The sequence below is a fragment of the Homo sapiens genome, chromosome 20 (assembly GCF_000001405.40).
Source record: "Homo sapiens chromosome 20, GRCh38.p14 Primary Assembly".
Taxonomy (NCBI): domain Eukaryota; kingdom Metazoa; phylum Chordata; class Mammalia; order Primates; family Hominidae; genus Homo; species Homo sapiens.
The window spans coordinates 2,902,232-2,928,748 of NC_000020.11; the positions used below are offsets into that span (position 1 = coordinate 2,902,232).

The 26,517-nt window shown below is 39.4% G+C and overlaps 1 protein-coding gene across 28 annotated transcripts in view, besides 1 other annotated feature; it reads left to right on the forward strand.

Moving 5' to 3' along the window:
* PTPRA (protein tyrosine phosphatase receptor type A) overlaps window positions 1–26,517 on the forward strand; it is a 174,486-nt gene that overhangs the window by 38,048 nt on the left and 109,921 nt on the right. For 22 of the 28 annotated variants that reach the window (NR_170936.1, NM_002836.4, NM_001388321.1 and 19 more), the window contains one exon: window positions 20,976–21,054. The exons of 3 other annotated variants lie outside the window; for them this stretch is intronic. Coding sequence is in view for 7 of the 25 variants with exons in the window: in NM_001385316.1 (NP_001372245.1) it covers window positions 21,028–21,054 (27 nt within the window). In the remaining 18 variants the exon portion in view is untranslated. Of the gene's footprint in view, window positions 1–8,709; window positions 8,803–20,975; window positions 21,055–26,517 lie in introns of all 28 variants that reach the window. 3 more of the 28 variants (NM_001385306.1, NM_001385320.1, NM_001385302.1) reach the window with 1 other exon arrangement.
* Window positions 20,498–20,998: an enhancer, noted in NCBI's record as "H3K27ac hESC enhancer chr20:2903375-2903875 (GRCh37/hg19 assembly coordinates)". NCBI's record gives its function as "activates a minimal SCP1, AML or CMV promoter by ChIP-STARR-seq in naive H9 embryonic stem cells {active_cell/tissue: H9 hESC(naive)}" and the evidence as "EXISTENCE:reporter gene assay evidence [ECO:0000049][PMID:30033119]".

Below are 26,517 nucleotides of genomic sequence, written 5' to 3' on the forward strand. Positions count from 1 at the left end.
ATAAGATATTCTTGGTAAACACTAAGCACCTCATAACTTTACCACAATTTTGATTGCACAACTTTCACCTGTGGTTATCATGTGCAATGGGCACATTCAACACAAATCAAATTATTCTGAAGCTTGCTTTCTTTCTTTTTTCCCTACTCCCTTTCTTAATTGAGGGGAGCAAAAAGTTGGTTTCCAGGGATATGTCTTCTCTCTTATGCTGGTCCCAGATTGATGCAGTCATGGAAACTAGGCAGTAAACTCATTCTTGGCAGCTGCCGGCACTGGTCTGATTCTTTCTTTTAAAAGCATGAGATTCTTTAATAACACATATTGGAAAGATTGATGCCAAGTGATTCCAGGTCATCCTAGAGGAGGCTTGGGAACATTGTTGAATAGATTTAAATGATTCAGTTAAGTGAGTGATTTAACCCAAGGTTTGTGTCTAATTTAAACAGGACCTATAAAATATAGAACAATTGGTTTGTTTCTTTTTTAGAATATTGAAGATTAGATTTTAATTTGAGAATTTTACTAATTTGAGGGTTTTATTTTTTGTTTTTAAGCGTTCAAAATGTTGAATTGTAGATATGCTGAGTTTTATAATGAGCACAATGAAGGTTTTTCAACTGGCCCGTTAAAGCCAACCCACTAATGAAATGAAAATATGAAATATTATGACTCCATAATATTTCATGGATTTTGAAGCTGGGCTGCCTGGGTTCAAATCCCATCTCTGCTACTTTTTGGGTACGTAACCTTGTGCCAGTTACTTAACCTCTCTGTGCCTCAGTTTCTTCATCTGCAAAATGGGAGATAGTGCAGTTTGAGTGTTCCTAATCTGAAATCTGAAATGCTCCAAAATCTGAAACTTTTTGAATGCCTACATGACTGCTCAAAGGAAATGCTTATTCCATGGAGCATTTGGATTTCGGATTTTTGGGTTAAGAATGCTCAATTGGTAAGTAAGTGTAATGCAAATATTCCAACATCTTTAAAAACCTGAAATCCAAACCACGTCTGGTTCCAAGCATTTTGGATAAGGGATACTCAACCTGTAAATAATGTCTGTTTCATGGGGTTGTGATGTGGAGTAAGTGAGCAAAGTTGTGTAATGTGCCTAGCTTATAGGGAACACTTAGCAAATGTTGGCTATTCCATTTATATATAAGAAATAGAATTATTGGCTGGGTGTAGTGGCTGATGCCTGTAATCATAGTGCTTTGGGAGGCTAAGGTGGGGGATTGCTTAAGGCTAGGAGTTCAAGACCAGCCTGGGCAACATAGCAAGACTCTGACTCTGCAAAAAAATTCACAAATTAGTTGGGCGCGGTGGTTATATGCCTGTAGCCCTTGCTACTCAGGAGGCTGAAGCAGGAGGATCGCTTGAGCCCAGGAATTTGAGGCTGTGGTGAGCCATGATAATGCCACTACACTCCAGCTTGGGCAATAGAGTGAGACCCCAACTTAAAAAAAAGAAAGAATTATTGATGGGATTGTAAAGGCTGAATATTAAATAAATTCAGAGGAGGTTTTTACGGAACTTATTTGTGAAATATTTTTAAAGGAAGGAAGGCATGTTTGTTTTAGGTTTATAAGAGATGGCAGATTTAGGAAGCTCCTCCCTACTCCAGATGAATAAGCCATCTGTTTTTCTATCCCTTTTAAGGATTTGCTTGGTGGGTTTCCATAACTTTTTTTTTTTTGAGACTGGATCTTTTACCCACCCAGGCTGGCGGGCAGTGGCGCAATCATGGCTCACTGCAACTTCAATCTCCTGGGCTCCAGCAGTCCTCCCGCCTCAGTCTCTCTTGAGTAGCTAGGACCACAGACGCGTGCCACCATGCCCAGCCAATTTTTATTTATTTTTTTGTGTGTGTGGAGATAGGGTCTTTCTATGATGCCCCGGCTGGTCTTGAACTCCTGGGCTCAAGTGATCTTGCTTTGGCCTTATAAAGTGCTGGGATTACAGTTATGAGCCATGGCGCCCAGTCTATGTATTCTTACAAAATTAAATTCATGTTAAGTGCTACACTAGCAGAATTTTTAAAATTTTTAAATGATGCACAAATAGAGAAGAGAGAGTGCAAATTAACGAGAAATAGGCAAGACTAATTTGAAGAAAACTATGAAGCTTTACTGAAGGATTTTTTTAAAGATATAAAATGCTGGCCAGGCGCGGTGGCTCATGCCTATAATCCCAGCACTTTGGGAGGCCGAGGTGGGCGGATCGTGAGGTCAGGAGATCGAGACCATCCTGGCCAACATGGTGAAACTCCGTCTCTACTAAAATACAAAAAATTAGCCGGGCATGGTAGCGGATGCCTGCGGTCCCAGCTACTCGGGAGGCTGAGCTGGAAGAATCACTTGAACCCAGGAGGCAGAGTTGCAGTGAGCCGAGATCACACCACTGCATTCTAGCCTGGCTAGAGAGCAAGACTCCGTCTCAAAAAAAAAAAAAAAAAAAGAATAGGCAAATAACTAGAGAAAAATAGTCCAGAAACAGACCTGAATATATATAGGAATTTAGAATATGAAAGTGTCAGTGTGTAGGAAGGAGTGAAATGAAAAAAGAAAGAAAAAAGGAATATGTTGAAAGTGGCATTCAGAAATCAGGGAGAAAATGATCGATTACTAAGAATGATCCTGTAACAGTGGGCTGTTTGGGGAAAAATACGTAAAGATTTCTAATTTAGACTATATTCAAATAATCACCAAATTATATAGAGCAGGGATACCCAACCTCCAGGCCACAGACCATCCTGTTAGGAACTGGGCCACACAGCAGGATATGAACTTTAGGCCAGGGAACATTACACCTGAGCTCTGCCTCCTGTCAGATCAGCAGCAGCATTAGATTTTCATAGGAGCACAAACCCTACTGCGAACTGTACACTCCAGGGATCTAGGTTGTGTGCTCCTTATGAGAATCTAATGCCTGATGATCTGAGGTGTTGCAGCTTCATCCCAAAATCTGAAACCATATCCTCCACCCCTCCATTTCATAGAAAAATTGTCTTCCACAAAACTGGTCCCTGGGTGCCAAAAAGATTGGAGACCGCTGATAATAGAGTATATATAATCAAATTACAGAAATAACCACACTCTATTCTTCCTCTAGAATATACTGAATGTTTCCTAAGAAAAGTTGAACACTCATGGCTGGTTGGCTGCTCTCTAGCACATCTTGCCTTCGTCTCTCACTAGTTGAATTTTACACTTCCAGGGGTCAGTATGTTTGTTCCAAATCTGCTTATGCCAGTTACATTTAGTACTGTAATTTTATAATTTAATTAAACATTAACTAATGAAATATGACTGCAAAAAGTAGTTGTTTTTAGGAAAATTAAGTTGTAGATCTTGAACAAATTGGATAAATACAAATCCCCTTTTCCCCTTTTCACCAAATTACTGTCTTACTAATTGTGGGCGTGAATATTTTGAAAGATTGGGGGTGGAAATCATAAAATTCTTTTTTTTTTTTTTTTTTTTTTTTGCTCTTGTTTCCCAGGCTAGAGTGCAATGGTGTGGTCTCAGCTCACCACAACCTCTGCCTCCTGGGTTCAAATGATTCTCCTGTCTCAGCCTGCCGAATAGCTGGGATTACAGGCATGCGCCACCACACCTGGCTACTTTTTTGTATTTTTAGTAGAGACATAGTTTCTCCATGTTGGTCAGGCTGGTCTCGAACTCCTGACCTCAGGTGATCCACCCGCCTCGGCCTCCCAAAGTGCTGGTATTACAGGTGTGAGCCACCACACCTGACCTCGTAAAATTCTTAAACGATCTATACTCAGTTGTCTTACAGTTGCCTAGATTCTTGTTCCATTTAAAGAAACTGAAATTTGAAATCACAAATGTGGATTATGGATATGATGGGTTATGGATATGATATATTTGTAATGAATATGCAAGAGAGAACATTTGAAACATTAATTAGTAGAAATGTACTTAAAGAAGAGGCCTTGGTTTTTTACCGTAATATTGGCAGGTGACATGTATTTGTTTTGAGTAAAAATCAAATATTTCAGTTACATTTTTAAAATTACCTGATATACTGTACTTTTTCATGTAACCAGTCAGCCCTGAGTCCTATTTGTGTTAGATAAGTTTTTACCAATCCCAGAAGGAGATAGAGGACAAGCTTTTATATGCTTCGGCTGAAGAAAACCTTTCTCCAAAGAAGTAATTATCTGATCCTCCTATAAAGGGCCAGATAGTAAATATTTTAGATTTTGCAGGCTGAAGTAGAATCAAGGGTAATACGTACGTTCTGATATAACAAGAGAGAAAACAAATTTTGAGAAATTTCTTAATTGATTAAATTCAAAATAATAAACACAATTTATTGAAATACAGGTATACTAATGAGAAGAATGGAGTTCTTTTCGGAGTGATAACATTTTCTTAATTGGAGTTCAGAGTTAGTGCTTCCTATTCAATAAATAATCATCAAAATTGATTGCAAGTATTTATCTATTAATGCAGGTCTGTAATGAGGTTTTATATATTTCATCTTTGACATGTCTTCACACATACATGTCAAATAATTGATACCAGCCCATAAACATATGATTTTAATTGAGCATATTAATAACTCAGGAAGCATTTATAGAATTAGGTTTTTCTTATAACATTTACCTTTTAGTATATTATTCATTGCTGCTTAATTACTTCCAATGGAAGGTTAGACAGAAGCTCCACAATTGCACTGTTAAATAGATACTGAAATATAGATATTTCCTTGTGCATTAAGGTCCTAAAAATTATTCTGGAAATGTAGTGTGAGCTAAGAAACTATATCCACTGCAAATTTGTTTGGGAATGGAGATCTCACTTCTTGTTTTAACTTTTGATAGCATGTAAAGTGTATAAAGCAGCTCAACGTTGCTTATGATTCAAAAGTTAGTTGTCTAAATAACAACAGTTTAAGTTTCATATATAAGTGTTGTTCTGTCCTGTAATTTTAAGTTGAATTTACTATTATAAAATTAGCAAAAGCTAATTCTCAAAGCCATTTATTGTTTGATCATAGTGTCTGAAAGCAGTCTTATTGTTGTGAAAAATTTCAATCTCAGTTCCAAGCTGAAAAGAAAAAAAAAAAAGCATGATAAAACTTTAGTACAGCTCAGCCGTCAAACTGCTGTGTGCCTGGGCAAGTCAGGTTATTCAGCTTCTGTTTCTGACAATGGTTAAGCCCATGGCAGTGAATGAAATTCACCATTAACATGGTTGGTTTAATAATTCATGATAAATTCAGATATTTTTCATAGAATATCTATTGATAAAAAACATGAATAACCACCTTACATTTTCACGTTTTATAAATCACCCAACTAAGCCTTTTTCTGCTTCACACATATTTTTACCATTATCAATGATAACGTATCTGAGATTCCACTTTAGGTTATATGGAATTAGTACTTTTTCACCTTCTTGTTTGTAGTTGTTCAACACAGACTATTCATAGAAGCTAATTCTTCAGTTGTTTTAAACTTGGCACTGACTCCTTGAATAAACATCTGAACAGTGTTGTAACATCTATCAAACTCATTCAAAAGAGATGGAAATCTACTTAACCTCAATTGCCTTGGTTTTTTTTTTAAACAGATTATTGATCTTGCTCCTAATATTTTCGACTTTTAGAGCAAATGATTTTGTTGAAAGGCTAATAGTCTTTTTTTCTTTTTAAATTATCTTATATTAAATTTAAAAAATAATTTTTTTGTTACCTGTCTGGAGAAAGCCTAGAGAAAGGCTAATTAATACTCTTAAACAAGTTTATTTTCTCTGGATACATTTCTTCAGCTTCTTCATGATTTAATTCACTTATCACTAGAATATTACTTTTCTTGCTTTGCTAACAAATGAGCTACTTAGAAACTTCCCTCCTTTACAAACTTTCTATTCCTTACCTTCCCTCCTTGCTGTAATGAAATATTCCACTTTAAATTTTCAAATTTTTCTGACCATTGCTTTCCTGTGAATCGGAAATACTGTGATCGGTCCTTAGTTTGGTAACATTGATGTATTTTGAATTCTTTTAGCACAGACAGACAGTTGACTCCTTGAACAACGCAGTTTCAAACTGCACAGGTCCAATTATATGAGAATTTTTTTTCAATAAATACAATCAGCAGTTTATACATATACAACCAAACGTGGATCAAAAATACGTTATTTGAGGAAACCCCCAGATACAGAACAGTGAAATTTTTGTATCCTCTGGGCCACTGTGGGACTTGAGTGTGCATAGATTTTGGTATCCACGGTTGATCCACAGATACCAAGGGATGACCGTAGAGTCATTGCATAATAAACAAAATGCTTCCCTATCTTGTCTTGATAAAATAATGCATACCCTCCACTGTGCCTTAAAAGCATGACATTCAGGCTGGGTGTGGTGGCTCACACTTGTAATCCCAGCACTTTTGGAGGCCAGGGTGGGAGGATTGCTTGAGCCCAGGAGTTCAAGACCAGCCTTGGCAACATAGTGAGAGTCCATCTCTAGTTTTAAAAAAATACAAAATTAAAAAAAATGAAAAACATGACATTCAAAGTGCATTTGTTTTTGTTTCGACATGATGGTTATGCACTAATAACTAATGATAGTTATGTACTAATAAAATGTCAAAATAATAACGACTTTTAGTTACTGATAACAGTTATGCATTAATAAAAAATAAAATGTCACAGTATGACAATATGCATGTGTGGCACCAAACATGCTGTTGAGTTATAACTTTGTGACTGTGATTTGTGGGATACTGAGCAGCAGTGGAAAGCTATATAAGCCACTCCACTCTGCCAGTCAGTACAGTGGCTGATTACCAATTATGGATAACCAGAACACATCAAAAAGCAGTTCAACAAGGATCAGAATAATAACATGTAAGTACCATTTATTAAGTAGTTATGTGTAAGGCACTGTGTCAGACTGTATAATGTACATTATTTAACCTTCAAAAGATTGAGAGGGAAGATCCCTTGAGTCTGGGAGGTCGAGGTTGCAGTTAGCTGTGATTGCACCACTGCACTCTAGCCTGAGTGATGGAGCGAAATCCTGTCTCAAAAAACAAAACAAAACAAAACAGGCCTGGTGCGGTGGCTCATGCTTGTAAATCCCAGCACTTTGGGAGGCTGAGGCTGAGGTCAGGAGTTTGAGACCAGCTGGGCCAACATGGCGAAACCACGTCTCTACTAAAAATACAGAAATTAGTTGGTGTGGTGGCTCACACCTATAATCCCAGCTACTCGGGAGGCTGAGGCAGGAGAATTGCTTCAACCCAGGAGGCGGAGGTTGCAGTGAGCCAAGATCATGCCACTGCACTCCAGCCTGGATGAGAGTGAGACTCCATCTCCAAAAAAAACCAAAACAAAACAAACGAAAACTACAAAAGATTGTCTGAAGCCAGCCACAGACAATAGTAAATGAATGAGTGCAGCTACATTCTTTCTTATTTATGGATGCAGAAGTTTGAATTTCATATAATTTTTCCGTTTCACTTATATATAAATTATATATTATATATTACATAATATATAATATATATTATAAGATAATATAATATATATTAGATAATATATATAATATAAGATAATATATATTAGATAATATATATAATATAAGATAATATATATTATATAATATAATTAAAATATATTAATTATAATATATAATATATGACATATATATGTTATATATTGTTATATATAATATGTGTAATTATATATTATAATATATGATATATATATAATCTATCATATATCATATATATAATCTATCATATATCATATATAATCTATCATATATCATATCATATATAATATATATCATATCATATATAATATATATGATGTATAGTATATATGATATATAACATATATATAATATATGATGTATAGTATATATGATATATAACATCATATATACTATACGTCATATATAATATGACGTATAGTATATATGATATATGATATATATACTATATTGTATATGATATATAATATGTATTGTATATTATATATAATATATATATAAGGCACAGTGGAGGGTATGCATTATATATAATATGTATTATATATTTTATATATTATAATATATATTTTATATATAATATATTTTGTATATTATATATTTTATATATAATATATTTTGTATATTATATATTTTATATATAATATATTTTGTATATTATATAATATATAAAATGTATATTATATATAAGTAAAGTATATATTATATATAATTTTTATATATACTTTTTTTTTTTTTTTTTTTTTAGACTGGATCTTGCTCTGTCACCCAGGCTGGAATGGAGTGGCTGGGACTACAGGTGTGTGCTATCATGCCCAGCTAGTTTTTTTTTTGTTTTTTTTTTGTTTTTTTTAATTTTTTTTTTTTTTTTAAGACGGAGTCTCGCTGTCACCCAGGCTGGAGTGCAGTGACATGATCTCGGCTCACTGCAAGCTCCGCCTCCCGGGTTCACACCATTCTCCTGCCTCAGCCTCCCAAGTAGCTGGGACTACAGGCACCCACCACACGTCCAGCTAATTTTTTGTATTTTTAGTAGAGACGGGGTTTCACTGTGTTAGCCAGGATGGTCTCGATCTCCGGACCTCATGATCCACCTGCCTTGGCCTCCCAAAGTGCTGGGATCACAGGTGTGAGCCACCGCACCCGGCCTACTTTTTATTTTAACTTTTTTTTTTTTTTTTGTAGAGATGTGGTCTCACTGTGTTGCCCAGGCTGGTCTCAATCTCCTGGGGTCAAACAGTGCTCCTGCCTCGGCTTCCCAAAATGTTGGTATTACAGGTATGAGCCACTTTGCCTGGCTATCTTATAAATAATTTTGATGTTAGGAATTTTTAGTTGCTTTTATTTTTATTTTTGTTGTTTTAAATATTTATTAATAGAAGCAAGGGGTGGATAAATCTTCTAGATCAAACTCTTCCTTAAAATAGTTCTGCTTTTGGTAGGATTCCAGATTTTCCTAGTTTTGTTAAGTGTTTCTAATGATGTTTGGCATAGGTGTTAACTTCATGGGCCTGTTGTATACAAACCAATTTTTTTCTTGCTCTGAGTGAACAGTAACAGAACCTGGTAGGTGAGTCACACTGATACTGCATTCACTGAAGTTACTAAGCTGAATGATAAGAGATGAGAATCCTTTGCATTTGTATTCAAATCAAGAGTTGTAGAATTTGAAATTCCTGTTTTGATGAACTATGTGAAGCATGCTGTCATTCTTCTCTGCTAGTCTATGTTGATGATGTCATTAAACTAGTCTTTGACTTTTAGTTCTTGGCTTAAAATATTGGAATGATTATATAATAAATAGGTTTATTTCATGTGGAAAAGGAATAATGTGTTTGCCCTGAAATAGTCTGATCTGATCAGGAGGATATTATGCTGAGCATGGCTGGAAATAAATTTGTAGCACCAATTAAATACACTGTAGCAGCTCTGAGAGGGAATAAAAGTAAAATATAAATAGTAAATATGAGAGAAAGTGACTATGGGATCTAACTATGTAAGAGCAGGGTGGGAGTATGGGTAGATACGTACATGCCCCCTAGATTTTAGGAAAGCATATTTCAAGAAGTAGAGAAGACATGGATATCAATCAGTGGAAATCGTATACTAAAACGGAAGTCAGTGAAAAAAAAAGACTGCTCTCAAACTAAAGATAGATGGTTGCTTCTAATAGGTAGGTATTCAGATTCGATTAAGAAATTAGAAGGCCGGGCATGGGGACTCAGGCCTATAATCCCAGTACTTTGGGAGGTCATGGTGGGCAGATCACTTGAGCCCAGGAGTTCGAGACAAGCCTGGGCAACCTGGTGAAACCCCATCTCCACAAAAAATACCAAAATTAATTAGCAGGGTGTAGAGGCACATGTCTGTATTCCCAGCTACTCAGGAGGCTGAAGTGAGAGAATCACTTGAGCCTGGGAGGTTGAGGCTACAGTGAGCCGAGATCACACCATTGCACTCCAGCCTGGGTGACAGAGTAAGACCCTATCTCAAAAAACAAATTTTGAAAATATACAGAAGTATAGAAAAACTGAAGTAATTTAATTTGTGTTAAAATCTGTTTGGTATTAAAACTAATGTTTGGCCGGGCATGGTGGCTCACGCCTATTAATTATCCTAGCACTTTGGGAGGCCGAGGCAAGTGGATTGCTTGAGCTCAGGAGTTCAAGACCAGCCTGGGCAACGTGGCGAAACTCCGTCTCTACAAAAAATACAAAAATTAGCTGGGCATGGTGGCTCACGCCCGTAGTCCCAGCTCCTTTGCAGGCTGAGGCAGGAGGATCACTTAAGTCCAGGAGGTGGAGGTTGAAGTGAGCTGAGATCGCACCTCTGCACTCCAGCCTGGGTGACAGAGTGAGACCCTGTCTCAAAAACAGACAACGACAAAAAACCCTAATGTTTTATGAAAAAGCTCTTTAATTTTTCGTGACCAAACTGCTATTCTCTAGACCTACACTGTCCAAAATGATAGCCATTAGCCATGTGTGCTACTGTGTTGGACAGCACGTATTTAGAACATTTCCAACATCACAAAAGTTCTATTGCAGAATGCTATGAAAATGAGATACACTTTCATTAGAAAAGCTAGTAAAAATAAGTAGGGGTAATGGGGTACTTTGACTATCCAGAAATTTTACTAAGGAAGAATTAGATTTTTATAATACTGGGACATTAGTGTGCACTTTTTTTGTCGTAATTGCATTTTGTTTTTTATTTTGAAATAAATACATGTACAGAAAAATTGCAAGAATAGTTACAGAGTCTTTTCGCTCCCTGAACCATTAGAGAGTGAGCCCCATCAGCCCCAAATACTTTAATGAGCATTAAATCTGGAGTTTGGCCGGGCACGGTGGCTCACGCCTGTAATCCCAGCACTTTAGGATGACGAGGTGGGCAGATCATTTGAGGTCAGGAGTTTGAGACCAGCTTGGCCAACATGATGAAAACCTGTCTCCACTAAAAATACAAAAAAATGAGCCGAGCTTGGTGGTGCACACCTGTAATCCCAGCTACTCAGGAGGCTGAGGCATGAGAATCACTTGAACCTAGGAGGCGGAGGTTGCAGTGAGCTGAGATTGTGTCACTGCATTCCAGCCTGGGTGACAGAGTGAGACCCTGTCTCCAAAAATAAAATAAAATAAATCTGGAGTTTAATACCAGTACAGTACTACCAGCTTATCTTCAGGCCCCATTCGAGTTATTCTAGTTGTCCCCAAAAGGTGAAGGATCCAGTTTAAAATCACACATTGCATTTAGTTGTCATGTCTGTCTTTGACTTGATCGCCTTGACACTTTTGAAGATTACAGGCTCATTATTTTGAGGAAGTCATTAACATGGACCTGATGTTTCTTCATCTTTAGATTCAGATTATGCATTTTATCAGAATTGCCACATAAATTGTGCTGTGTTCTTATTTTATCCATCCAGGTACTACATAATTTCCATGTGTCCCATTTTTCTTGATGTTAACCTTGGTCACTTGATTAAGATTGTGTCTGCCAGTTTTCTCTACCATACATTTAACTATTTTTTCCTTTATAATCAGTATTTTATGAGGAGGAGGAGGAGGTACTTTGAGACAATGTAAGTATCCCATTCCTCATCAAACTTTCACCTTCTAGTTTTAGCACCCATTGAAATTTTTTTGCTGGATTATTGGTATGATGGCTGCCAAATGATGATTTTCTAATTTCATCATCCCTTCTACATCCATTCATTGACATTTCATTGAAAGGAAAAACTGTTTTCTTCCCATTTATTTAACTTATATCAATATGGACTTACGGATTCATATTTTATTCAATAAGTTATCTATTAGTGTACTTTGGTACTTTGATGCTGAGTTTGTCCCAGATTTGGTCAGTGGAAACCCTGTCAAGCTGGCTTCTGTATCCTTTTGACATTGTCCTATCATTCTTTGATCACTTTCCTCTTTCTGGGACCAGATATGATCAAAGCCCTTCTTATACTTTTCCTGCCCTACCTCTGGAATCATTTCACCAAGGTACCCTGGTTCCCTTTATTGAAGAATGTATTTAGAGGTTAGGTCTGGACAGTAGATGGCATTGTTCCACTGAGGTGTCACTGCTCCTAGACTTTCTCAGCAGACAGAGCTAGAGCATATATGCATGTATATACATACACAAACATACATCCACACACATAGACTCATTTTTTTATTTCTTGCTCTGTGTGTGTGTGTGTGTGTGTGTGTGTGTGTGTGTACTGTGAGTTCACACTGGTACCTAGTACCTCAACACCTCAGAGTTCATTTTATTTTTCTTCCTTTTTGTATTTGTAACTCCCTTCTCTGACAGAGAAACTGGGCCCCAGTTTTTCTTAATATATTACTATTTACTTAATTGATCAATCCCCTTGAATGTGCCCAGTCTTTCCTTTCCTTATCAGATCATGTGCATGCTAACCTTGCTCAGCCCCACCTAATGGTTTTTAGACTGAATTATTTGGAGACGAAAAAAGTACGGTTGATGCTCATTAGTCACAGATTTTTTTTATTTGCAAATTCACCTACTTGCTAAAATTTATGTGTAACCCCAAAATCTGTACTCGTAGCACTTTTATGGTCATTCATGAACACGTACAGAAGGGTAAAACATTTGAGTCGCTATTGGGTAACGTGTATTCCTAGGTGAGGCCAAGCAAGGCAGTCTACTGCCTTCTTCTTTGAGTCCTCATACTATAAATAGTTGTCCCTTTTGCAGTTTACTTAGCGCCACATATTTTGCATTTTGACTTCTTTTACTTAGCATGTGTTTTCAAGTTCCATCCATGTTTATAGCATGTATCAGTACTTCATTCTTCTTCTTTTTTTTTTTTAAAGAGTTGGGGGTCTCACTGTGTTGCAGGCTGGAATACAGTGGCTATTCACATAGGCCATCATAGCATGCTGTAGCCTCAAACTTTCACTGGGCTCAAGTAATCCTCCCACCTCAGCCTCCCAAGTAGCTGAGATTAGAGGTGTGGGCCACTGTACCAGGTTCCTTCCTTTCTAAGGCTGAATAATAGTTCATTGTATGTATAATACCACATTTTGTTTATCTATTCATCCAATAATGGGCATTTAGGTTATTTCCACCATTTGGCTATCTTTTGAAAATCTTTTCATGTGCTTGTTGGCCATTAGTATATATTCTTTGGAGAAATGTCTCTTAAATTCTTTGCCTATTTTTTAAATTGGGGGGAAGTTGTCTTTTTTTGTTACTGAATTGTAAGAGTTCTTTATTCTGATAACTAGACCCTTATCAGATACATGATATCTGATTAACACATAGTTTCTTGCATCCCATAGGTTGTCTTTCAAAATTTTGACGAATTCCAATTTGTCAGTTTTGTTGCTTATGATTTTTAGTGTCATATCTAAGAATCCATTTTCAAATTCAGTGTCATGAAGATTTACCTATGTTTTCTTCTAAGAATTTTATAGTTTTAGACCAAGCGCGGTGGCTCATGCCTGTAATCCTAGCACTTTGAGAGGCTGAGACAGGCGGATTGCCTGAGCTCAGGATTTCAAGATCAGCCTCAGCAAGATGGTGCCCATCTCTACTCAAATACAAAAAATTAGCCTATGGCGTGTGCCTGTTCAGCTACTCGGGAAGTTGAGGCAGGAAAATTACTTGAACCATGGAGGCAGAGGTTGCAGTGAGCCGAGATTGCATCACTGCACTCCAGCCTGGGCCACAGAGCGAAACTATGTTTCCAAAAAAATAATAACAATAATTTTATAGTTGTAGCTTTTTAAGTTTTTAATCCACTTTGATTTTTTTGTTTTGTTTTGTTTTTTGAGACAGGGTCTTGCTCTGTGCTGCAGGCTGGAGTGCAGTAGAGCAGTCTTGGCTCACTGCAGCCTTGACCTCCTGGGCTCAAGCTATCCTCCCACCTCAGCCTCCCAAGTAGTTGGGATCACAGGCTTGTGCCACCATGCCTGGCTAATTTTTGTATTTTTTCTAGAGATGGGGTTTCACTATTATTGCCTAGGCTGGTCTTAAACTCCTGGGCTCAAGTAATCCATGCCCACCTTGGCGTCCCAAAGTGCTGGGATTACAGGCGTGAGCCACCACTTTCAGTCCCAAGTTAATTTTTATATATGGTATGAGGTAAGGATTCATTCTTTTGCATGTGAATATCCAGTTGTCCCAGTGCCATTTGTTGAAGAGCCTGTTCTTTCCCCATTGAATGTTGTCTTAGCACTCTTTCCAAAAATTAGTTGACCATAGGGCATGGTGGCTCATGCTTATAATCCAAGAGCTTTGGAAGGCCCAGATGAAAAGATTACTTAAGGCCAGTATTTCATCACCAGCCAGCCATGGTGGTGTGTGCTTCTGGGAGGGTGAGGCAGAAAGATGGCTTGAGCTCGGGTGTTGAAGGCTGCAGTGAGCTCTGATTGTGCCACTGCACTCCAGCCTGGGTGACAGAGTGAGACACTGTCTCTAAAAAATAGAATAATAAAAATCAGTTGACTATAGATTTGTGGATTTATTTCTGAACTCATTTAAAACTATTCCATTGATCTATATATCACTCCTTATACCATTACCACACAGCTTTGGTTACCGGTGCTTTGCAATAAGTTTTGAAATCAGGAAGTATGAGTTCTCCAACTTTGTTCTTCCTTTTCAAGATTGTTTTGGCCATTCGGAGTCCCTTGCAATTCCATATAAATTTTAGGATCAGTTTTTTTATTTCTTTTTTTTTTTTTTTTGAGACAGAGTCTCCCTCTATTGCCCAGGCTGGAGTGCAGTGGCGTGGTCTTGGCTCACTGCAACCTCCATCTCCCAGGTTCAAGCAATTCTCCTGCCTCAGCCTCCCGAGTAGCTGGGATTACAGGCACACACCATCCGCCCAACTAAATTTTGTATTTTTAGTAGAGATGGGGTTTCAGCATGTTGGCCAGGCTGGTCTCGAACTCCTGACCCCCAAGTGATCCGCCGGCCTCGGCCTCCCAAAGTGCTGGGATTACAGACATGAAAGCTTTTTTATTTTTGAAAAAATAAATAAATAAATAAAGACATAAGATGTCTTTCCATTTATTTAGGGTCTCCTTGTTCTTGGAGGTAGATTTTCTCTGATCTATTTTCATTGAGACCTTGGGCCTTAAGAGAGCCACAATTTCATGAGAGATTATTTCTCTGGAGCCCTTCCTACCCTTCTCCTATTTCCTGTCTCCTTTCCTCCCTTGTTATTCAAAAGTCTTAACAAATGCTCCTGGGCCCAATACAGAGGTCAGCTCACACTTCCAGCCTTAGCTTTGGTTCACTTTTTGCTTTCTTGCCACTGGTAGTTTTCCCTCCTCTCTTAAGAACTTAGCTAAGCTTTTCAAAGGATGTTTGCATTTATCCAACATTTCTAGATTTTGGTAGCTGGAGAGTTTTAATAATTTTCTAGATTGCTGTTTTACTAGATTAGAAAAAGATAGAGCTGGGTGTAGTGGCACATGCCTGTAATCCCAGCTACTCCAGAGGCTGAAGTGGGAGGATTGCTTGAGCCTGGGAGTTAGACCAACCTGGGCAACATAGTGAGACCTATCTCAAAAAAAAAAGTAAGACTTTAGGGCGCAGTGTAATCCCAGCACTTTTGGAGACCGAGGCGGGTGGATCTCGAGGTCAGGAGTTCAAGACAAGCCTGGCCAAGATTGTGAAACCCCGTTTCTACTAAAAATACAAAACTTAGCTGGGCAGAGTGGCAGGCGCCTGTAATCCCAGCTACTCTGGAGGCTGAAGAAGAGAATCACTTGAACCCGGGTGGCAGAGGTTTCAGTGAGCCGAGATTGCACCACTGCACTCCAGCCTGGGCGATAGAGTGAGACTCTGTCTCAAAAAAAAAAAAAAAAAAAAAGACAGTGTTTTTTAAAGATGGAGTTTAGTATACAGAAATATTGGGTGTCAGGCAAAGTATTAATTACTTTGTACGTATTCTCTTTTCCTTCTTTTTTTTAAAACGAGACAGGGTGACCAGGCTAAACTCTGACTGTTGGGCTCAAGTGATCCTGCCTTAGCCTCTGGAGTAGCTGGGCATTACAGGCACATGCCACTGTGCCCGGCTACATACTCACTTATAAAACTCTATTTTTAAATGACAGCTCCTCTTTACAAAATAGATCAGGAGAGCGATTTTCCTGTCTGCTTCCTGAGGAAGCAAAAAGGCAGAAACATGGTGAGCAGCAAGACCAGTGGTTGCCGTAGTAAGCATGGGACTTCCTATGAATGGCTCTGTTAACAGTAGGGGATGGTAATGTTCTTTGATTTGTGGACTCTGTTTGATTTGTGGACAAGGTTTTATTTCCTGTCTTTGGGGTAGGAGGGTCTGCCATATCCACAAATTGGCTCTTCCCATTTGTTGTATTCATTTAGTTAGACCATGATTGGAAAGCCTCACTGGCTGTGCACATTGCACCATACTTAGGAATATATGACGGTTATACATTTCAAACAGGGCTTTAAAACCTTCCATTCAGCTCCTTTTGGATAAAGCTCTTTTCCTCATGTGGTTGTTGACATACATGAATTATAGGCTTTGTTTAGCTAGTGGGTAAGAGCAGATTTTGGAGTCATGTACACCTGGGTTTGAGTTTCAGTCTTGCCATGTACCAGTTGTTTGTGGACAAGTTATTTATTAATAACTACTCTGTACCATAGTTTCTTCATTGGTAGTATCTTCAAAATGAAGTATCTATTTCCTGTGCTGTTTTGAAGGTAACCTTAAATAATGTGCATTGTACAATTTGATACAGTGTCTGACACGTAGTAAATACTTTAATATATAATACCTGTTTTTATTCTGATCCTTGTTGAGCTGCTGCTTTTTGATGTGTTGATTATATATAATTGGTAATCATCCATTTTACTGACATCTTCCAAGATTTGACCAAGTTGATTGTCTCAAATTTCCAAGCAGAAAAAGTACCCAGAAAACAGAAATTAAGCAGTTATTAAAGAATCGAATAGCAATGATCATTACGACTTGTGCTTAATAAGAAATGTGGGCCATGTCTGCCTGAGCCTTTATTTAATGCATTTTAAAATTTGCTGGGTTTTTTCCTCCCTTTAAACCTTACTATCAGGTTCAGTAATAAGTTAAACTAAAAAGAAACGGATGCCTTAGAATAAAGAAAGATTCAAATTAATAGGATATATAATGGCCTTTCATGGTGGTGGAATTTCTGTGTGTTTTGAACTAAGGGAAAGACTTAAAGGAAGATTGCCTACAGTGTACTGGACACTTTGCTAGGCTCTGTGGATATTATCAAGACACAGTCCTTACCCTCAAGGATCTTTTTATTTTTCTTTTAGAGACGGGATCTTGCCCTGCCACCCAGGCTGGAGTGCAGTAGCAAAATCATAGTTCACTGCAACCTCCACTCACTCTCAAGGATCTTACTCTCAGCTGGGGGAGGCCATAAACAGTTAAAGTAGCTTACTCTCAGCTGGGGGAGGCCATAAACAGTTAAAGAGTTAATGATTGACTCTAGGGCTAAGGGAAAGAAAGTAATTGGGTCAACTAGGATTTCTAGCTTGGCAAGGGGGTAGACCTGGATTGGCAAACTACAACCCAATGCCAGTTTTTGCATAGCCCACAAACTACAAATGTTTCTTACATCTTTGAGTGGTTGGAAAAATATCAAAAGAAGAATACTATTTTGTAACGTGGAAATTATATAAAATTAACATTTACATGTTCATAAATAAGGTTTTATTAGAATATAGCTATGCTGAAACTACATATCTATGACTGCTTTTTTGTCACAACAGCAGAGATGAGTAATTGTGACAAAGGCTGTTTGGCCTGCAGAGCCAAACATTTACTGTGTGGCTCTTTACAGAAAAAGTTTGCTAACTCAATGAGTAGGTGGTAATTTTTATCCATTGAAACAAGCAATTAAGGAAGAACAGATACAGGAGAAGATAACATTTCTGTGAGTGTTGATTATTTGAATCAGAGGTACTTGTGAATATGCAGGTCTAGAAGGCAAGGGAATTTATAGGTTTGGAGTTTGGAAAGAGCTTGAGGCTGGAAATGGATGTGGGAGGAAAGGAGGAGATCAAGAAGACTGGATGGAGGAGTGCAATTTTTAGCCCTGTCTGCACATTGGAATCACCTGTAGTGCTTAAAACCAAACAAAACCAGACAGACATTTCCAGGAACCCAACCCCAACTCCCTCTTTCCCAAGATTATGATGCACCTGAGCTGGACTTGGGCACCAGAATTTTTTGAAAGCTCCCCCAGCAACTCTAATGTGCAGCCACTGGTACAGAGTGAGAAGATTGGAAGATGGGACACCAGGAACACCAACATTTAAGGGATAGTTCTAGGTGCTTCTGCTGAGGAGAGGAAATTCTGAGGGAGTGATGATGGGAATTTTAGGGTGGTCAGATCCTGTAATTTGAGATCATTGTTGACTGATGAATCAAGAGCAGTTTCTGTAGAGGCCAGGTGAGGGTGTATGTCAGAGGCCCCTGGTTTGAGGTGGGAGAGTATGAACTATTGAGAATATTGACCGGGAGGAAAGGGGGGAAAGTGATGGCTGGGATGGGGGGCATTGGGAATGTAGTTTGTTCTAGAGAGGTTTTTTTAAGATGTTAAAGCCTTGAGGCTATTTATGTGCTGAGGGAGTGAGTACTCAGAAAGAAAGCCTGGAATGGCAGTATCAGATGCCACCATTCAGTTTTCATGATGGAGTGAAGGGCTAGATTTTGAATAGTTCTTGGAATAATCTTAATATTGTAACCTTTTTGGAACTGTTTGCTTAATGTGCTTTCTTCATTTAGGTGCATTACATTGTACCTGGAAAGAGAAATGGACCCAGGCATTGAGAAGCAAGGCCAACAACTCTGCTTTGCTTGCCCGGTTACTGTCGTTCTGTCTGGGACATTGGTCTCATCTCTGAAAGCAGGAGGGCAAACTGAATGGGCTCTGTAGTCTCTTCTAAAAGTTTTTAGTTTAAACTATTAATAGTACAACTTTGATTTAACAAATGAGGAAGCTGAGCTTACGAGATGTCTGTGAAGCCCATTGTCTGATCTTTTATTTCCTTAGTACCTGGGAATGCGCTTTTTTTTTTTTTTTTTTTTGAAGAACACCAACAGTTGTTCACCCTTCCTTGAATTTGGGTACACTGTATATACAGAGTATACCAATTTAGCCTGCCATTAGAACATGTCTTCACGAGCAAAATCTAGTATAAAGTCTTACTTTAATATTTTCTTTATTATGTATAAATAATAGATGGTTGTTATGGAATACTGGATAGTACAAAAGTTTAGAATTTTTAACATTTTGGTTTATTTATTGGGACTCTTTTTTCCCCCCAGTGATTCTTGTTTCTCCAACAATGTGAATGCGCACTCCATTCAGTGTGAACGTGAATGTTAATTTATGTGCCAGCTGGATTCTACAGGAAGCAGACACAGATGGGGTTGGAGGGGCAAAGGGCTTATTAGAGGAGTAATGCCTGTGAAGAAAAGGGGAACGGAACATGTTTGGGTATAGGGAGCCATCAGACTGCAGTGCACACCTGACGAAGTCTCTGCCCACCCAGATTGCCTGATAGAGGAATACCACAAGAGGTAGAAATGGCTAGGCTCTTGTACTACCACTTTGCACAGTCATTGACTAGAGATAGATCTTTGATCAATGTAGAGATTTTCAGCCTTGGCATTGTTGACATTTGGGACTGGATACTTTGTTATAGGGGGTTGTCCTGTGATTTGTAAGATGCTTAGCAGCATCCTAGGCCTCTATCCCCTAGATGCCAGTAGCCCAGCCTCCCTGCTATTAGTTGTGACAGTCAAAACTATCTTTAGACACTGCCATATGTTCCCTAGGGAAGGGCCTAATGGTATATAAACAACCCTATGGTGGCATAGTCCAAGTTTTGGGACAGGGAGGAGTGTTCTATACTACCCTTACTGGAAAGACCTATGAGCTATTCAGAAATCTGAACTATTTAAGATGGAGCTTTGTTCTGTGGCTCCTGGAATTTTAAGCACACCCCTGTGAAACATCTTGTTAGGATATACTCCACTCTCCAAAACAATCCATAATGTTTAAATAGGGCTGTTTTATTGATTGATTGATTGATTGATTGAGATGGAGTCTCACTCTGTTGCCCAGGCTGGAGTACACTGTCACGATCTCGGCTCACTGCAACCTCCCCCTCCTGGGTTCAAGCAATTCTCCTGCCTCAGCCTCCCAAGTAACTGGGATTACAGACACCCACCACCGTGCCTGGCTAATTTTTGTATTTTTGGTAGAGACGGGGTTTCACCATGTTGGCCAGGCTGGTCTCGAACTCCTGACTTCTCAGGTGATCCGCCTGCCTCGGCCTCCCAAAGTGCTGGGATTATAGGCATGAGCCACCGCACCTGGCCTTATTTTTCTTTTTGAGATGGAGTCTGACTTTGTCGCCTGAGCTGGAGTGCAGTGGCGCGATCTGGGCTCACTGCAGCCTCTGCCTCCCGGGTTCAAGCAATTCTACCTCAGCCTCCTGAACAGCTGAGATTAGAGATGCGTGCCACCATGCCCAGCTAATTTTTGTATTTTTAGTAGATGCAGGATTTCAGCATGTTGGCTAGGCTGGTCTCAAACTCCTGACCTCAAGTGATCCACCCACCTCGGCCTCCCAAAGTGCTGGGATTACAGGCATGAGCCACCGCTCCTGGCTATTTTCTTTTGAGACTGGGTCTCATTCTGTTCCCAGGCTGGAGTGCAGTGGCACAATCTCAGCTCACTGGAAACTCCACCTTCTGGGCTCAAGCAGTCCTCCCACCTCAGCCTGCTAAGTAGCTGGGATTATAGGCATGTGCCACCCTGCCTGGCTACTTTTTGTGGAGATGGGATTTTGCATGTTGCCTAGGCTGGGCTTGAATTCCTAAGCTAGAACAATCTGCTCAGGGATGTTGTATATTTCTAAAGGTATTTTTCCTTTTGTTGCAGGTGACACAACTAAAAAAAAACAAAGGTATTTATGGAATTCCACTGAGTGGTAATGGATGATGCAGTTCAAATAACTAAGGTAAGAGAAATAAAACCAGAACTGTGAGGAGGCTTTTGCCAGCCAAGTAGTGTCCTTAAATAAAGCTAACATCACATGCTTTCCTGCTTCATTTCGTTTCTAAGCTGTAAGAGTAGCTTATTTTTTTATTATTATAAACATTGTAATTATCCTTTAAGATACTTCTTAACCTGATTATGAATCAGAATCACTTGAAGAGCTTTTTTTTTTTAAAAAAAAAGACCAAAGTCAGGCTGGGCATGGTGGATCACGCCTGTAATCCCAGCACTTTGGGAGGCCGAGGCGGGCAGATCACTTGAGGTCAGGAGTTCAAGACCAGCCTGGCCAACATGGTGAAACCCCATCTCTACCAAAAATACAAAAATTAGCCAGATGTGGTGGCATGTGCCTGTAATCCCAGCTACTCGGGAGGCTGAAGCAGGAGGATCCCTTGAACCCAGGAGACAGAGGTTGCAGTGAGCTGAGATCGCACACTGCATTCCATTCTGGGCACCAAAGAATGAAACTCCTTCTCAAAAAAATAAAAATAAAAAGACCAAAGTTAATGCCCTGCCAGCATTGAATTAAAGCTTCTTGAGTAGATCACAGATGATCTCCAAGTTTTTTAAGTGGGAATGTAAACCAACTCTATAGTTTTAGAAAACTCTTTGGCAATATCTGCAAAACATACACGTATCTAATAACCCAGGAATTTCAATTCTAGGTATCCACCTTTGAGAAATGAAAAATATATGTCTACACAAAAGTGCACATACAAATGTTCACTGCAGCTTTATGTATTATAGCCAGAAAAACTGTAACCCAATCAGGTGTCCAAAAACAGGAGAATAGTTAAACAAATTGTGATATATGGTCAGGTGTGGTGGCTTACACCTGTAATCTAAGCACTTGGGAGGCTAAGGCGGGCAGATCAGTTGACCAGCCTGGTCAACATGGTGAAACCCCATCTCTACTAAAATTACAAAAATGAGCTGAGTGTGGTGGCTCACGCCTGTAATCCCAGCTACTCAGGAGGCTAAGACAGGAGAATGGCTTGAAGCCAGGAGGCAGAAGTTGCAGTGAGGTGAGATCACGCCCCTGCACTCCATCCAATCTGGGCAACAGGGCGAGACTATGTATCAACAACAACAAAAAATTGACATACACTATTGATAACATGGAATTTTATTCAGTAATAGAAAGGAACAAACTACCAGTAGACATGACAACATGGATGAATCTCGTAGATAAAAGGTTGAGTGAAAGAAACCAGATGGACAAGAAAAAGTAGATGTAGCAGAATTACCGAGTAAAACTAAACTACAGTGATAAAGGTCATATCCCTACTTCCTCTGACAGGAGGTGGGAGGTTGTGACTGGAAAGAGGTATGAGAGAGCCTCTGCAGCACCGAAAAGGTGTTTTGTTTTGTTTTTTGAGACTGAGTCTTGCTATGTCACCAGGCTGGAGTGCAGTGGTGTGATCTCAGCTCACTGCAACCTCCGCTTCCTGGGTTCAAGCAATTCTCCTGCCTCAGCTTCCCAAGTAGCTGGGATTACAGACACGCGCCACCACGCCCAGCTAATTTTTGTATTTTTAATAGAGACAGAGTTTCACCATGTTGGCCAGGATGGTCTCGATTGCCCAACCTCATGATCCGCCTGCCTCTGCCTCCCAAAGTGCTGGGATTACAGGCATGAGCCACCGCGCCCGGCCTGAAAAGGTTTTACATCTTAATGTGTTCATATACATACTTTTCTCATGGTAAAATATATATAAGATTAAATTTATCATTTTAACTACTTTTAAAGTATACAATTCATTGGCATTAAGTACATTCCTGTTGTGCAGCCATCACCACTGTCCATCTCCAAAACTTTTTCATCTCCCCAAACTGAAACTCCATATCCATTAAACACTAACTCCCCATTTCCTCCTCCCCCAGCTGCTGGCAACCATTCTACCTTCTGTCTCTATGAATTTGACTATAATAGTTACCTCGTATAAGTGGAATCATATTTGTCATTTGACATCTGGTTTGTTTCACATAGGTTTATTTCACAAAGGTATCTTGTTTATTTCACATAGGATGACCTTGTTTTCAAGTCATCCATGTTGTAGCATATATCAGAATTTACATTTTATGGTTGAATAATATTCTGTTGTATGTTTATACCACTTTATGTGTATCCATTCATTCACTGATGGACACTTGGGCTGCTTCCACCTTTTGGCTGTTGTGACTAATGGTGCTATGAACATGGGTGTAGGCTGAGTGTGGTGGCTCACGCCTGTAATCCCAGCACTTTGGGAGGCCGAGGCAGGCGGATCACTTGAGGTCAGGAGTTCAAGACCAGCTTGGACAACATGGCAAAACCCCATTTCTACCAAAAATGCAAAAATTAGCCAGGCATGGTGCTGCATGCCTGTAATTCCCAGCTACTTGGGAGGCTGAGGCAGGAGAATCGCTTGAACCTAGGAGGTAGAGGTTGCAGTGAGCCCAGATGGTGCTACTGCACTCCAGCCTGGGTGACAGAGTGAGGCTGTCTCAATTGAAAAAACAAAAACAAAAACAAAAAAAAACACATGGATGTACAAACATCTGTTCGAGTCCCTGCTTTTAGTTCTTTTGAGTATATTCTTAGAAGTAAAATTACTGGATCATATGGTAACTCCATGTTTCATTTTTTGAGGAATCACCATGCTGTTTTTCACAGTACTGCATCATTTTATATTCCCACCAGCAATGCACAAGGGCTTCAATTTCTTTACATTCTGCTTTTTGGTGACCTCCATAATTCTAAATTATATGTATATGCTGTTTCTTCTTAATTCTTTTATTAATAAAAAAGACAACATAATTCTTTGCCTCTCCAGTGTGAAAAAATGGGAATTTACCTTACACTATCCCCCCATTTAATATTTGTATTATTTCCTGTTCTGCTGCTGTTTATTAGTTTCCTCAGACTTCTGTAACAAAACTCCATGAACTGGGTGGCTTAAACAATAGAAATTTATTGTCTCAGAGTTTTGGAGGCTAGAAGTCTTGCGGGCTGTGCGGGAGAATCTGTTCTATGATTTTCTTCTAGCTTCTGGTAGCCTCAGGCATCCCTTACATTGTAGATGGCATTCTCTCTGTATCTTCAGATTGTCTTCCCTCTATGCATATCTGTCTCTTGTGTCCAAATTTCCTTTTTCAAAATAAGTGCGCTAGTCATTGGATTAGGGACCACCCTAATGAGCTCATCTCAACTTGATCATATGCAAAAATCCTCTTTCTAAATAAGTTCACATTCACAGGAACTGAGTAGGGGGTTACAATTTTAACATCTTTTAGGGGACACAATTCAGTCTGGGTGACAGAACAAATCTCTGTCTCAAAAACAAAACAAAACAAACCCATAAAGTGATTACATTTCTAACTTTCGGAAGTACTCTTCAACCTCCTTTTTTTAGGTTAATTTTCAGCACTCTTTCCTTCTTTCTTCCTTTCCTTTTTCCTTTTCCTTTTTTTTTTTTTTTTTTTTTTTTACTTTTTATTTTTTTGAGACAGAGTCTTGGTCTGTCGCTCAGGCTGGAGTACAGTGGTGTGATCTTGGCTCACTGCAACCTCTGCCTCCTAGGCTGAAGTGATTTTCCTGCCTCAGCCTCCCAAGTAGCTGGGATTACAGGCACCCGCCACCACGCCCGGCTAATTTTTGTATTTTTAGTAGAGCCAGGTTTTCACCTTGTTGGCCAAGCTGGTCTCAAACTTCTGGCCTCAAGTGATCCGCCCGCCTCGGCCTCCCAAAGTGCTGGGATTACAGGCATATGCCACCACACCTGGCTAATTTTTGTATTTTTAGTAGAGACAGGGTTTCACCTGTTGGATCTCCTGACCTCATGATCGCCCTCCTCAGCCTCCCAAAGTGCTGGGATTACAGTCGTGAGTGCCGCGCCCACTTAATATTTATGTTATTATAGCTAAGTAAATATTGTTCACTGTCAGGCCAGGCAGCATTTTCTGGGTTTTTATTTCTTTCTCTGTAGGTTCAATGTCATAGACCCTGGGCTATTCAAATGAGAAAATGAAGAAAAAGTGAATTCTCTCTCTGAAACTATCAGTTGCTTCCAATCATGTCTTTATATTTTATATTTGAACCGTAACTTTCTCATAAAATTTTCTCCCTGGAGTTTCTAATTTTCTTGTCTATTTGCCTGTTATTATAGTTTCACTTTTCACCAAGATCTCAATCATACACTCCAGCCTGTCAAGGCTAGTTCAAACCATACACTGTGGCCCAAATTTAGGCTAGTCGTACACTCCAATCCGAGACCAGTGGGCACTGTTTTTTAGGCTGTCTACACAGTCATATTGGTATTTTCCTTACTGGTTTTTCTTTGACGGGGGTGCAGGGGAGGTTGGGTCCACTGATCTTGGATATCAGTCTTTCTTTGTATTTGTTTTTTAAATCTTACTAGAGGCTAGGGGGCATGGTGGCTCATGCCTGTAACCCCAGCACTTTGGGAGGCTGAGGCAGGTGGATCACTTGAGGCCAGGAGTTCAAGACCAGCCTGGCCAACACGGCAAAACCCTGTCTCTACTAAAAATACAAAAATTAGCCAGGCGTGGTGGTGGGTGCCTGTAATCCTAGCTAGTCGGGAGGCTGAGGCAGGAGAATTGCTTGAACCCGGGTGGTGGAGGTTGCAGTGAGCCAAGATCATACCATTGCACTGCAGCCTAGGCGACAGAGTGAGACTCCATCTCAGTCAATCAATCAGTCAATCAATCTATCTTACCAGAGTTCATTCTCAAGTCACTTACTGAGAGAAAAGGTACCTGGCAGATAAATTTTGACTCTTTCTGGTATCCGTTTTTTGTTGTTGTTGTTGTTGTTGTTTGTTTGTTTTGGAGACGGAGTCTCGCTCTGTTGCCCAGGCTGGAGTGCAGTGGCGCGATCTTGGCTCACTGCAAGCTTCGCCTCCCAGGTTCATGCCATTCTCCTGCCTCAGCCTCCTAAGTAGCTGGGACTATAGGCGCCTGTCACCACGCCTGGCTAATTTTTTGTATTTTTAGTAGAGATGGAGTTTCACTGTGTTAGCTGATCTGCCCTCCTTGGCCTCCCAAAGTGCTGGGATTACAGGCGTGAGCCACCGTACCCAGCCTCTGGTGTCTGTTTTTAAGACCCTCATGTTGGAGTGATGGTTTGGTTGACTATAGAATTCTAGGTTGCCTATTATTTTTCCTCAAAACTTTGAAGTCATTGCTCCATTTCTTCTGACATCCCTTGTTGTTCATGAGAAATAGAAAGTTTCATATAGGAAATTAATTTTTCTTCTTTTCTGGAAGCTTTTATGTTCTATATAGTCTGGAATTCCATAGAGGTGTACTTGGTGGGCCCCTTAATAGATCTGCAGACTCATAGCTCTCCATTTTTTGGTTCTTTTCTGTCAGCAGCTTTCTGATATTGAGCTTCCTGGGTTGTTCATATAATGTTCTTATCTAT